Below are 15,542 nucleotides of genomic sequence, written 5' to 3'. Positions count from 1 at the left end.
TTGCACATAAAACTACCTCAAATCTCATACATTAGCCATAGGGTAATATTTGGAAGAATAGCTCAGGTAACTAACAAAACCTGATTCATATGTCAAGTTAACAAACATTGACAAGAAGGAATGCCAAAGGGGATTAGTTGATCTCAGTGGTTCAAAATTTGTAGCCTTTTATTCTCTCATTGCTTTTAGGAAAATACATCAACAACAAATTATTTGGGGAAAAATGTGTCACAAATTAAACAATCATAAAGAAATGAGATCTGTAAGATTTAGAGTGAGAGCTGCTCATGAGTGATGAATTTTTTAAATTATAGTTCCTCAATTTTAGGCTCAAATTGTGGGAAAAAAATCATGAAAGGGGAGAAATAATGTTCATCATTTGAGTAAAAGGGAATTTGCACATGAGGCTACATATTTAGAGCCCTCAAATGAATTAATAAATGCATTTTTTATTGTTTTGCAGGATCAAGAGTTGTCAAGAAAATAAGGACTTGCAGCTATCTATATTTTTCAATACAAAATTTTTGTTAGCAATATTTAAAGAAACAATATTGTAATTAAATATCCTTTATGCTGGCTATCAATTTTTATATATATTTTACTGGCAAAAGTATGTCTTTGTCTGGCAGAGCTAAAAAAGAAAACACAAACCTGGGAAATTAATAATTTTGAAAATACCTTAAGGTTGGATAACATAATTTGAAATCCCACCATTTAGCCTTAAGGGCTTGGAAGAAATCACAAAACTGAGTTTCTATATATCAGAACAATGATCAAATAATCAAACATTGCCATAAGGGTTGCCTATATTATTATTTATGTAGTTTGTCTACAAATCAATCTCCAACTTATTAGTCAATAATTATATTCAGATGTCTTTTTCCCCATTTTCAATAGCAGTAAAGATAATGAAAAAATTAATACATAAAAATGTTTAAGAATCACATAAGGAGTCATTTGAAGACTTATTTTTGACAATACGTTTGCCTTCTTCAAAAAGAGAAATGCATAACACGAAGCATTTAGGAAAATAAATAAGAACATAGAGAACAATGACAAGTCCAACAGTAAAATGAAATGTATTTAGAAGGTTTCCCTCCACTGGAGAAAACTACTTACACAATAATTCATCAATCATGATGAGAATTAGTTACAAGTTTCTCTTAGCTGATGTCTCACCTAAAATACATGAATTTCATTTAATCTACTTAAATACGACATTTTTATTTGAAAAGCTATACACACTCACAACATGGAGTGAAGTTCAAGTAAGATTATTCCAAATTTCTAATAATTCAAAATTGTATTGATGTTTCATCTAAATAAATCTTAGTGTGTTATACTGGAATTTGAGTATAGCCATAATTAGTCAAATTATCTCTGAATCTGGTAATAATTTATTTTGTCAGGTGTAAATTCTTTTAAGTTATTTTTCAAATTTATTCATTATTTAGCAACCTTCAAGTCATATCAGAGTATTAAACATATTTCTACAAAACACCTAGTAGGTATTTTGCCCATAACAAAAGGCAAATTGGAATTAAGTTCCTAGGGACATATGAAAACAATTTTATAATACTTATATGCACCTTGTACAGTATTATAACCGCATATTTCTTAACATTCTGCTTTCCAGTAATTCACCTTAATTTAATAAAACTAATACCAAACTGTGCTGGAAGGCTTTCTTAGGAATGATATCACTGTAAGTTTATTCATTTCATCCCTTTAACATAAATATATATCACTTAAATATAAATTGTATTAAATTGGGCATTTGTTTAACAAAAATATAACTGAAATATCCTCTAGTTAGCAGAAGTAGAATTTATTGCATGACAACAATCCAGAGTGTGATCAGGACATTAAAAAAATAGGCAACCAAGGCAGACCCTCACCGCTACCAGCTCACCTTCTAAAGATGATTTGGCACACTTCTGAGCCTGTGTCCCTATGGAGCGGGTCTAGAAGGCTGTAAAATATTATGTCTTTTACACAGCGTGCAGCTAACTGGTTCAGAAACGAAGTAAAGACAAAGTAATAAAAGTAGAATGCTAGTCTTTAAAAAGCAGTTCTTAGTAATGCTTCCCTTTGGCAATTTTTAGGTTTTTACTTTAAATTTAACAGTTAAGTGTATAAAGACATAATTTTGTGTATAGCATGTAGCACATGAGAGCTTTCTTTGCAGTCGAGTCTCCTTAGAGAATTTACAGAATCTTCTTCAGTCAATTGCAATTCTTATGTTCCACATGGTTACAACACTTTTATTTCATTAACACCTAATTTACAAGCACAAACCATTCTAAATGTATCAGAACAGATGTAGGAAATAATTATAATTTAGATTGAAATTTTCATCTCCTAGTCACATAATTTTAACCCATCTATCTTAAGAAAAAAAAATCAAGAGGATTCTAAAAAGATTAAAAAGCTCTCCAATTTAAATAAAGAGGTGCCAAATTTAAGTTTTTATTTTCTTTCAATTTACCTGTTACTGCTCAGATGTACCATACCTGCTGTATCGAGCTGCATGGTTATAATGGTGCATATGCTGCATTGATATGACAATCTGCACCAATTTGAATACAGTTTTCCATGGAGTCTCCCTTTATAGCCCTTGGACATTTCGTTTAACGCTTTGAGAGCTGTTTAAAATTTCTATTCTATCTTCTAGAGAGAAATCAATCATTTTACTTGGTTGACTTGACATTTAATTTGCTATGTATAAAAATAAATATGAAAAGAAAATAATCTGCCATTATACAAATACTAAAATAACTTAATGTTTGCTATCATTTACCAAATCCAGTCCACTTGGTCAAAATAATAACAAAGCCTCACCTCCTACCCGTGAACAGGCTTCGTTGCTTAACTACATGGAATAACCACTTGCTCTGGCCTTAAATAGACACACACCTTATGATTTAGATGTGCTAAACTGATCCTCACTCAGCATTAACTTTTAGCTCCATGTAGTCAGCATGTTCCATCATTTGTTCCCATTGGCCTTATAAACAAATCTGAATGATAGAAGTATATTCTCAGGCATAAAATCTAATAAAGATGTTTGCCTGAGACTGTCTTCTGCCTCATTTTCAATCCATCTAACCACATTTTGATTCATGGTAGCTTACATTTACTCCACTTCCTACTCATATTCTTGTCTTACTAAGTAACTGGTAAACTAAGGCCACCGAAAAGCTACTTTGCATGCTTGTCTTCCCATTGTCTGCATGGACTTTGATAGAATTATCCTTATGAGATACTCAATATTAAGCAAGTACATAATAAAATTTACAGTATTTTGCAATAAAAATTAGTCTTTGATTTTTCTTCATTAGTGTATTAGTTTGTTTTCATACTGCTGCCTAAGACTGGCTAATTTATAAAGGAAAGAGATTTAATTGACTCACAGTTCAGCATGGATAGGGAGGCCTCAGGAAACTTACAATCATGGCGGAAGGCGAAGGGGAAGCAAAGCACCTTTTTCACAAGGCGGCAGGAATGAGAATGAACGCAGGAGGCACTACTAAACACTTATAAAACCATCAGATCTCGTGAAAACTCACTCACGATCAGGAGAACACATGGGGAAACCGCCCCTGTGATTCAATTATCTCCACCTGGTCTCTCCCTTGATACGTGGGGATTATGGGAATTACAATTCAAGATGAGATTTAGGTGGGGACACAAAGCCTAACATATCAATTAGCATACACTCATTAGGTATCTGAAAATGACGCAGATGAAGAAAAAACAAACTTTCATTTATTCAAAATCTTAGCATTTCATAATTTCAGGTGATGCCAAAGAAATTTTTAAAGAGGGGATATATCTGTCTTAGGAAAGCTCGTCTCAGTGACAGTGGGATTGTTTCTCATAATTTAAATTTTGAATAGGTTAACTTTCTTAAAAGAGGCCCTTTTATTGTGCTTTGTATAGGTAGCTCTAAACAAATGGAAACAGAAAAGATGAAAACATCCTTACCTTAAGGGAAATTACTGCAGGTCTTACCCCCAGACTTCATATATCTGTAACATAAAAGAAAGACATCCAAAAGTTATTTACATAATTTAAAGCACCATTTTCTTCAAGTAAGCAAAAATTGAGACATTGCACTCTCTTTTCAGCAATCGGGGTGAATTTTTAGTGGAGAAAACAGTAGGAAGATATCATCACAGAGATGTTTCACTGAATAAGAATAAATAAAGGATAACTAGAAGATAATAATTAGGGTATTCATGAGACAAAAACATGCAACAGAAACTGAGCCTCAGAGTTTCAGATTGTGGTAGAGCAGATTTTGTAGTACAAAGTAATTTTTCTTACCATTAAGATCAACTTGAATTCCCATATATTCATATCATATAATGTAGTCAGCATTGTTTCGTTATTTTAAATTACATTTTTAGATATGTTATAATGCTTACGTGAAAAATGTAAGATATTCTGTAGCACTCAGCTACTAAGATTCAGTTGATTATCTTATAGTAGTAAAACAATCTAATGATTACATACAATTTTGTGGTTTACAAATCATTTTTATGATTTGATTCTTATAAAAATCCAGTGAAAGGTATGAGCACTTAAGAAACAGTCTGGCAAAAAAAAATAAAATAAAAAAAATAAAAGGCAGCAATCCCTGAGAGAAACAAATAAGGTAAGCGCTAAGACTACCTCAGCTGGAGAAAGTTACTAGGGTGTGGTGCAGGGATAGAAAATTCAGTCAGATGCAGTCGTCTCCCTGAGTTGAGCAGACAGAGTTGGAAATTTGAGGAAGCCCAGATGCCTAGAATTTGCAAGGCATACTACTAAAGAGAGAAGGGAGATGTGCAAAGCCAGAACTCCAGAAATCTTCAGAAGGTCCCCTTTCAGTACACAGCTGATTATTAATCATGCATGCCTGTGAAGAAATTACCCATCTCCAGTAAAAGAAACACCTGAAAGAACAGTAGCTGATGTTTAAGCATGATTGAGATAAGTGTCTGTTCACACCAACCAGGATAGAAAACCTCCTATTTCAAGGATTGCAGGTTAGAATGCAAAGGATTTTGTCTCACTAGGAAAGAAAATTAGTGCTTAAAAGCAAGACCTGAAAGAATCAAGTTGTTTCCAACTAAGCCATGTCCTGAAGAAAGCTCAGAAATTTTCGTAGTGATATAAAAGTATCCAGCAACCAATAAATTTGTCAAGATCTTGACCAAATATGAGTGAATAAATGCGTTCAACAGTACTTCCATTTAACTATGAAGAAAGAAAAAGCAAAAAATATAGACGTGAGTCCCACTTCCATTTTGTAATTCACCAATATCCTACTGATTTGTAAAATGCCAACACACTAAGAAACCTAGTCTTTTAAGAAAAAAAAATACACTATTATAACACTGTTTGGAAAAATATATAATGTTTTTACCTAGTGCTAGTACTTTTCCTTCTTTAAATTTTGTTTTTGTGATTTAAATGGTGCAAAGAGGTTACCATAAAGCATACAGTTTTATATTTTATTAACCATTTAAGAATATATTAACTTTTAGAAAAATATTAGAAAGTTCTCTTCCTGTATTAACATGTGATACATGGTGCTGGCATTGCAAAATGAAGCAGTGAGAAAGGGATGGCAAAAAAAAAAATAAATAAAAAATAAAATAAAAACACTTAAGGACTTAAAATTTGCAGGGACTTTTACTAGGCATTATAAATTTAATATTTACATAATTCTTGCAATAGCTTTCCAATCTATGGTACCAGGGTTCAAGGGATTTGCCAAATAGGGCTTTTAGTTGGTTTTGTGATTAATACTGCAGATTAATAATAGTTACTATCCTGTTCTCTGTGGTTCAGGCACTCTATTTTTTTTTTTTTGCACTAGATCAAATAACTGTGTCCCTATTAAACAGAGCACAGTACAACATGCTGGTAAATAATCCATGAGTCAAAAAAGCAGACAAAAGGGAAATTAGAAAATATTTTGAATTAAAGAAAAATACAACCACAATATATCAAAATTTGTGTGATGCAGCCAAAGCATCTCTTAGAAGAACATTCATAATATTAAATGCTTGCAGAAAATAAGGGAGGTTTCAAATCAATTATTTATGCATTCACCTTAAGAAATAAAACCAAAAAAAATAGAAAGCTAATCTCAAACAGCCAAAAGGGAACAATAAAGATAAGTACAGAAATTTATAAAGCTGAAAACCAGAAAAGCCACAGAGGAAAATCAATGAAACCAAAGCTATTTATTTAAAAAGCTCAATTAAATTAATATAACTCGAATCAGACAGAACAGAAATATATTTTCACATAAATGGCTCATTGATTTTCAATAAAGATGCCAAGGCTATTCAATAAAGAAATAATAAGTTTTTTTAAAGTTTTATTTTATTTCTAATTGACACATACATATTCAATACCTGTATATATTATATAATCATCAAATCAGGGTATTTATAATATTCATTGCCTCAAACATCTATAATTTCTTTGTAATGAGAGGAATTCAAAATCCTCTCTTCTAGTTATCTTGAAATATACAATACAATATGGTTAACTGTAGTCACCTTACTGTACAGTAGAATACCAGACCTTATTCCTCCTATGTAACTATTATTTTCTACTGTTGACCAATCTCTCCTATCCCTTATTCTACAGCCTCCCCTCCACTCCCCATCTTCTAGTAATCACTATTCACTCTGTACTTCTGTGAGATCAGCTTCTCCAGTTCCCAGAAATGAGTGAGATCGTATATTTGTCCTTCTGTGCCTAGCTTATTTCACATTCGTAAAGAAACCGAAAATATTATTAAAAAAATGCATACCTCACATCACATACAAAAATTAACTCAAAATAAACTATAGAACTTAAAATTTAAAAGGACAAATTTCTAAGAGAAAATATATGAGATAATTTTTGTGACCATGGGTTAAGTGAAGATTTCTTAGGCACTACTCCACAAGTACTATCTTCCGAAAGTGGCACAGTTAAAGGGACTGAAAACAGACCAGTGGTTTCCAGGGTAAGGGTTAGAGGAAGAGTTTTACTACAAAGAACTGTTTCATATGATTTTGTTGGTGGTTACGAACCACATGCATGTGTCAACATCATAAGATTGTAGATTAAATGTGGTGAATTTTGATGAGTGTAAATTTTAGCTTAAAAGAAAATTTTTTTAAAAAAAATTCTCTATACTAATACCAAATAAGTAAAACTTATTACTATAATATACTATTTACAAAAGTGCCAAATATATGAAATACTAGGAATAAATTAGAAATTAAGGAAGGTATTTACCCAAGAAAAAGAAAAAATCATAAATCCCCACAAAGACTGAAATAAAAGTGTTCATAGAAAATTTATCCATAGTTGTCCAAATCTAGGAAATAACCGAAGACACTAAAATTATAAAATAACATACCCCGAAACAGACTCATACATATATAGACCCTTCACTATGACAGTGTAACACAGCACAGCAGTGGATATAAAGATGTTTTCAATTAATAGTGCAAGGACAATTGGTTATCTGAAAGAGGAAAGGATGAAAAAACTATCTGGCCCCTACTGTATACAAAAGTAAATTCCAGATTAATTAAATACTAAAATGTGAAAACGTTTTTCTAAATGATAACAGGAAAATATTTTCATCATCTCAAGGTAGTCGAACCTCTAAAACAGGACCCAAAAAGCACTAACCCAAGAAAGAATAATAAAATTAACTACAGGAAAATAAAGAACGTCCATTCACCAAAAGATACCATTAAAAATGTAGAAAATAAGCTGCATTGTGGGAAAAGATATTTGCAACACATATGACACGGCAAATTTTATGCTTCAGCCTGACTGGGCTAAGGGATGCCTTGACTGCTGGTAACATTACTACTGGGTGTGTCTGATGGTGTTTCCAGAAGAGATTAATGTTTGATTCAGTAGACTTAGTAAAAAAGTCCAGCCTCACAGATGAGAGAGGGCATCATTCAATCCCTTGAGAGCCCTGATAGGGAAAAAAATAAAGGACAGAGGAAAACAAATTCTCTCTTTTTAAATTGGGGCATAAATCTTCTGCTCTCAGACATAGGAGATCCTGGTTGTCCGGCTTTCAACCCTTCAAGGACAAAATTAGATCACCAGCTTTCCTGGTTCTCCAGCTTGCAGATGGCATATTCTGCATACTTCCAGCCTCTATGATTGTGTCAGACAATTTTCATAATAAATCTCCTCTAATATATCTTTATTTACCCTATTGATTCTAATTCTCTGGAGAATCCTAACTAATGCAACATATAATTTCTAATGGCTAACATCCAGAATGTACAACTAACACCTACACATCCGTAAGAAAATGAACTATTTCCCCTTCACAAATGGCCAAGAGAATTATTAACAAGGGACAATGTCCAGATGGGCAATAAACACACAAAAACTGATTAAACATTGCTAACAATCAGAGGTATGCAAGGTAAAACACTACTATTATTAATACTATAACACACAGAAATTTTTCTTACTATAACATCCCAGAATGACCAAAATTCAAAAGACAATTATGCCAACAATCTGAAACAAAAGAATCGTTTATATAGTGGTGGAAAGACTAAAAACTGGTACAGCCATTTTGGAAAAAAGGTTGGTATCAGTTATAAAGTTTGAAGATGATAGACATATCATCAGATTCAGAAATTTCACTCCTGCTGAACAGCAAAATTGGCATATCCATATCAAGAAATATTTACAAAAATGTGTAAGTGCTCAAAACTGGAAAAAAAAACAAATGTCTATCAATAGGAGACTGTTAACACACATTTTAAAATTCTTTAAAGTATACAAATTTTTAAAAATCATTCAAAATAACACCACACAACAATCAAACGGAACAAACCACAGCTACACACATTAATCATGGATGAATTGCACAAACATAATTTTGAGCAAAACAAAGTAGATACTATTATAGACCCTATGCTTTCATTTACATAGTGTAAAAAATAGAGGTAGAACTAACTTATCATATGTATGGATGCAAATTTACTTGGTATAATACAAAGAAAAGTAAAAAAATAATTACCATCAATGTCAAAATATCAGTTACTGTTGATTGAGAAAAAAAACAGGTTATGATCAGGAGAGAGCATGAAGAGAAATTCTGGGGTGTTAGCAATGATCATGTTTATTAACTTCATTGGGGGTTACAAAGTGTCTACTTTGTCATAAATTATTGAGTTGTACATTTTTACTAATTGTCCTTTTTTGTGTTTCACAATAAAAAAACTTAGAAGTGAACCACAGATAAATGAATGAATGGTTAAATGATGCTCCACTATTGCCTCAAATCTTTAACATTCTAAAAAGAAACTCAGAATCAATCATGGACAGTCAAGAGCAGATTTGGAGAGTACAAGATGGGGATTGATTATTAACAATTGAGACATTCATGGTAAAAAAGCACTAAAAGTGAAAGCAATCTAAATCCATCCCCATATCGGACTATCAAATTCTGCCAGTGACACCATAGCTTGCTTCCAATTCCAACTTGAAGTATATGACCCATATATTGGTGAAGGAGAAAAATGATATATTTCAGAATCTGTGAGATCAAGATTTAAGTCCTAGCCTTTCCTGTTATTATCTGTGTGGCTGCAAGCAAATAACCTAATTGACTTCCACTGCTAGATTTGCATCTGGTAAATGAAGATGGATACTATAATCTTACTCTTAGAATTAGATGGAATGACATATTTAGAAATGATCCTAGAGTATAACTTTAATGTTGATTTTTTTCCCTCTGGATGCAAACCCTACATACAATTAGCTCTTTCCAACATCAATTGCCTTTTTGTGATATTTTTGAGAAAGAGAAAAACAGCCCTGCCATCCAGGAGCTGATGGGGACACTGTCGGCTAAGCTGGGTGGCCTCTTGTTCAAACATCAGGCAAGGCACTCTGTGACCATGATGAATCAAGAGAAATAACCAACCAAACAACCAACTAACAAAAACTCCATAAATGCACATCTGAACTCAGACAAAAAGTAGAATATTGTTCAAACAACAAAAAAGACCTAACATCACCCTATCCTTGCTGATATTAGTGATTACTGCTTCTGTGCCGATTTCAGCTTCAGGATTGCTTCATGCTTCCTGCTTTCTAAATGAGAATTATTAGGATACCCAAATCGTAAAACTGTCTCCACATCCTTGAACCTTCCCTCAAGTCACCCAACACAAGCTTCTATTCTCTCCTGAGACTCTTCTAACACCTTTTTTTTTTTTTTTTTATAAAGAAACTCCACTGTTCCCCACTGTGTGCAGTCTTCCTCTTTGCAACAAGTCAATAAACCCAACTTTGACTTCAGATATGCTCTTGGTTGGCTCTGGCTTGGGAGCACTGGCATCGTTCGCATTTGGCCTCTCTTTTGGAATCCATCTGTCACTTACATGTGAGATCTGTTTTCCCTCATGTGTAAACTATTTTGGCAACCTAATTAGGCTTTCTACCCAATTAGTTATTGAAGAAAACCTCGTATTAAAATATATAGCCTTTCCTACCTCAACCATATTAAAAACTGCTGAATATGTATTAAGCCAAAAAACTCTATCTAAAAAAATACTATTTATCAGACATCTAACTTTACACATCCATTTTAATATTTAGTGAGTGAAAGACTGTCAGAAGCTGTTATCTCAAGAGACAAGATACATCCTTTGTGCTGGTGAACCAACTGTAAACTGTGATATATCTGGGTGTTCGCAGATAAGGTGCCAAACGCAAACCTATAAGTGGAAAAGCAATTTTCTTTTATGCCTCATATCACAGTGTGTCAAAATTCTCTAATTCCTTTGTTTTGTTGTAAATGAAGAAAGGTTAGGTTGTGAGTAAAAACACTGTTTTGATAGCTTGAATCTCTGGAATAACCCCCATAGGAATTAGCAGAAAGCAGATCTCATCAGAACAATGTTTAGAAAATAGAAGTTTGTACTTTGTCGTTCTATTTCACATTTTCAACTAGACCTGCAATGAGAACACTAGCTTCCTAGCTTCTTTTTTTGTTTAATTCAATAGATATTTTTCATTTGTGCTTTTTAAAATGTATTTTTAAAATTGTATTTTATATAACATGACACATAAATTGCACACTGTGGAAAGAATTGTCTGCCTCCCTGAATGAAACCGTTTTAATCTCAAGAGTTTTATTATCTGTTAAAATCTATTTAAATATAGGCATTCAATTTTACATTACTTGACATTTATGAGGAAGCTATTTTACAGCAGCAGGTTTCTGAATAGACAAGATCACAACAAATATTCATGATTATATGACATGCTAGATTGAAAAATATGGGGAAAGAATGATCTAAATGTTCTGGGCAGTTCACATATGTGAATATATCTAATAAAACTCTGGATCAGAGGTCTGCTAATACCTTATATTTGTTTGAAAACTACAAATATGACATATATAAGAATAGCCTATCTATTTTATTTACTATATTGCAATATTAATACAAGCTATTGTGTTTTGAATATTAGCTGAATTATTTAATATTAAAACTGGGGAATAGAGACATCCATTTGCAACATAAAATTTTCAGTTAGTATTTAAGGCTGTACTTTACAAAGTGAATAACAGCAATTCAGCTAGTTGAACTGGCTAGAAAGAGTGAATCCTATCTGTAACTGTGTACTATGATATGTCCATGGACTAGAAAGTATCTCAGCTTTTACTTCAATGATAGAAAAACACAATCCTGGGCACAGTTTTACATTTGGAAAGAGGTGACTGCCAGCCTCAATTAGGGTTAAAAGAAACTAGGAAAATGAGCTTCTACAATTAAGATTTTCTACAGCTGACCTCATGGGTCTGATGTATGACAATTCAAACTGGGATTTTTATGAACATGCAAAGAAACAAATCACCACAAGATTTTAAATTACACAGAAGAATCTGCATGAAACTTCTATCCATCAAATGCCCACTGAAAAATGAGGTAATTACCTAAAATAATTTGCATGTTAAGAGCTAATACAATATTACAAAGTAAAGTCCAGTTGTGAAAGCAATGCATAATTTCCTGATTAATGTCTGGTGCACAATATTCCTCCATGCTCTGTCAGAACCCAAATAACAATATGGCCAATCAATCAAATAAAAAAAAAGATAATTCAGATATGAAATGAGTTCAGTTCTAATAAATCATGATTTGAACTCAGTGAATTTTAGAGTTATGACAACTAATCACAGTATATTGTGTTTTCAAGCCAATACATTTAGATTTTAATTGGTATAATTATAGATTTTCAGTGATTCAAGATTAGTGTGTGAAGGCAAAAAAATCAATTTTTAGTTTGTAAAATGTCATCTATTAAGTTATTGAAGAACACCTCGTATTAAAATATCAAGTCTGTAACACACAGCGCTGCCAAAAGTTACAATTTGAGCGATATTCAGGCAGGAAGTCTAAGAATGCCAGTGGAGTAATATGGCCAAATTTCCTACAGCGAGATTATGAAACATTTTCCTTCTCAGTGGAAAGTGGAAACATTTCTTCTACAAGTAGGATTAATCTCCTCTGTCAGCGGAAGGCAGGTGCGGAGATAAAGGAGAAGCAGGTGGGCAGAGCCTCTTAATGGATACCAGGTCTCTAACAATGGAGCTGTGATCCGAGTCACTTATTAACAAATTCAGGATTGACGGTTTACCACTGTTCTGCCATTCTGTTCTTGTGTAATGGGAGACGCTCTTTAAAATATTAAGATTATTTCTGGACTGTATTAAGAGGCAGGAGTTTTCTCTTTGTGGTGGGAAAGGAAATGGGGAGCGAAGGGAAGTTTTCTTAAAGTGAAGGTGCTCTCTGTTGTTATTGGGGGTGGGGGAATGATGAAAAGAAGCCCAAGAAAATGGATTCATAGTTATTTTGACCCAGTCAGAACTTCAACTCTTCTTTTGCTTCTTATGAGGAATTCATTTGACCAGTGAAGAAAGCAAGTTTTGAGGTCAGCTAGGCTGTTCTATCTGGGCCCTTCTGTTGACTGATTATGACCTTGGGAAAGTTACTTAACCTCTTTCATGACTGTTTCTCAACCTAAAAATCAGAGATAAGAACATAACACACCCTAATAGATCAGAACACTACTGACCATGACCAATTTAAGTGATGTATTGTTACTGTACTAGTGACTAGTACTTAGCTTAGTGACTGGTACTAGTCAGTGCAGAACAGACAACACAGAATTTATCAGTGTTGCTATTAAATCATTTATTTAACCTCTTATGCCCATTTTCTCATATCTAAAATGAAGATAATCGTACCTATTTGATATATTTGTTGTGAGAATTCAATGGATTAATAGAGCTTTATTTATTTATTTATTTATTTATTTCTGTTTTTGAGACGGAGTCTCACTCTGTCACCCAGGCTGGAGCAACCTCAGCTCACTGTACACCTCCACCTCCCGGGTTCAATTGATTCTCCTGCCTCAGCCTTCTGAGTATCTGAAATTACAGGCACCCACCACCACGCCCAGCTAATTTTTGTATTTTTAGTAGAGATGGGGTTTCACCACATTGTCCAGGCTGGTCTCAAAACTCCTGACCTTGGCTGATCTGCCCACCTGGGCTTCCCAAAGTGCTGGGATTACAGGCGTGAGCCACTGCACCCGGCTACAGCTACATTTCTTATAACAGTGCCTAATATATAATAAGTACTCAAAATTTTAATACATTAATCATTGGTAGCCACGTGCCATCATCCAAATTCAAATTCAAATTCACATTAAATAAAATTTAAAATGCCACATGGGCCACATTTCAAGAACTCAGTTGCCACAAGTGGCTAGTGCCTCTTGCATTGGCAACACAGTTCAGGATATTTCTGTCACCTCAGAAAATTCTATAGGACGATGATAATAGATCTGGCCTTAAAGAAAGAGTTGAAAGAAAAAGCAGCCGTTCATTCATATTGTCAGCTGTGGAGTGGGTGGAGAGGATAAGCAAAGAATAGGCAGTATACAGTAGATGACAGAACTTGTAATGTACATAGCTTTACATTGTTTCAGGGGTTTTTTAGGCAGTCTTTTTTTAACATTTACATATACTTTTAAAGATATATTTTAATTTATAAAATAACAATTATGAACATTTTAACTTCAGATCATATTGACTCTGGTTAACAAGAAAAGAATTATTTAAACTACCAATTCAATAGCAATGTTTGAGGGAACAACTCCATTTCAAAGAAAAAACTTTAAATGTGCTTTTGAGTGATAGGCCAATGAAACAAAACTTTCAAACTTTTCGCAAACTTTTCAAACGTTTGCGACTAAATTCTTGCAACTGTGATTATTAAGGTTTTTCAAAGGTTGTCAGGCTTTGTAATATTCTCATAAGTCACATATAAGTGCCATGCCATTGTCAGCAACGACTTACCACCATACTTATTTAATATTTATGTAAAAATAGTATCAATATGAAAAGTACAATTATATCACCAATCTTTGAAGTGACAATCACTTGTAATTTCAAAACTTTCCAGCCATTTTTAACATTCTCATTTCTTTGGTCCCGAGTTTCTTTATAATATTTGATACCAGTAACTATTTTTTAATTTGGGAAATGCAATTTTTCCTTGGTTTTGTTACACAACTACTTCTTCTTCCTCAGTACTACTTCTTTTCAGTATATTTCTGGTGGGTTTTTTGTTTTTGTTTTTGTTTTTTGAGACGGAGTCTTGCTCTGTCGCCCAGGCTGGAGTGTAATGGCTCAATCTCGGCTCACTGCAACCTCCACCTCCCAGGTTCAAGTGATTCTCCTGCCTCAGCCTCCTGAGTAGCTGGGATTACAGGCACTCACCACTGCACCTGGTTAATTTTTGTATTTTTAGCAGAGACAGGTATTTCACCTAATCTACTCTACTCTACTAAGAGATAGGTACTTTTAGTAGAGATAGGTATTTCATTGTATTTCACCAAGTTGGTCAGGCTGGTCTCAAACTCTTGACGTCATGATCAGCCCATCTTGGCCTCCCAAAGTGATGGGATTACAGGCGTGAGCCACTGCGCCCAGCCTATTTCTGGTGTTCTATTCCTCTACCAGTCCTCAATCAGTATTTCCCCCTGGGTTTTATTATTTACTTTTTTCGATGTCATTTTAAATGCTCTTTTGAGTGTTCCACTGTATTCTCATGGTTTCAGATTCACCTGTATGCTGATGGTATCACATTCTATACCCCAAGCAAAAATTTTTCATTTGAATTCTAGAGACTTTAATTTTGTTTTATTTTCTGCAGGCACCATAGACCCAAACCTAGATTTTGGTAAAATTTAGCTAACCTTCTTTCTGTTCCCCACTTATAAAACAAATACATATGTGCACACTCACACCTCACACCCCCACACACACAGACAGCAGTTTTTCCTTCTTTGTTCTACTTCTCATTAACCGAGACTTGATAGTCATCTAGATTTATTTATCTCATACTCTTTTATTAAATCACAGAAGCAGGCTCTTTCTACTTCCTATCATATTCTGTGTAAACTCACCCCTCTCTGCA

The 15,542-nt window shown here is 33.6% G+C and overlaps 1 long non-coding RNA gene across 1 annotated transcript in view; it reads right to left on the bottom strand.

Moving 5' to 3' along the window:
- LINC03000 (long intergenic non-protein coding RNA 3000) overlaps window positions 1-15,542 on the bottom strand; it is a 765,030-nt gene that overhangs the window by 50,335 nt on the left and 699,153 nt on the right. The window contains exon 4 of the long non-coding RNA XR_001742489.2: window positions 3,988-4,031. This is a non-coding gene — a long non-coding RNA (long intergenic non-protein coding RNA 3000). The remainder of the gene's footprint in view (window positions 1-3,987; window positions 4,032-15,542) is intronic.

This window comes from Homo sapiens, chromosome 5 (genome assembly GCF_000001405.40).
Source record: "Homo sapiens chromosome 5, GRCh38.p14 Primary Assembly".
Classification (NCBI taxonomy): domain Eukaryota; kingdom Metazoa; phylum Chordata; class Mammalia; order Primates; family Hominidae; genus Homo; species Homo sapiens.
The sequence above is the reverse complement of the archived record's forward strand: the minus strand, read 5'-3'. Positions and strand labels throughout refer to the sequence as shown.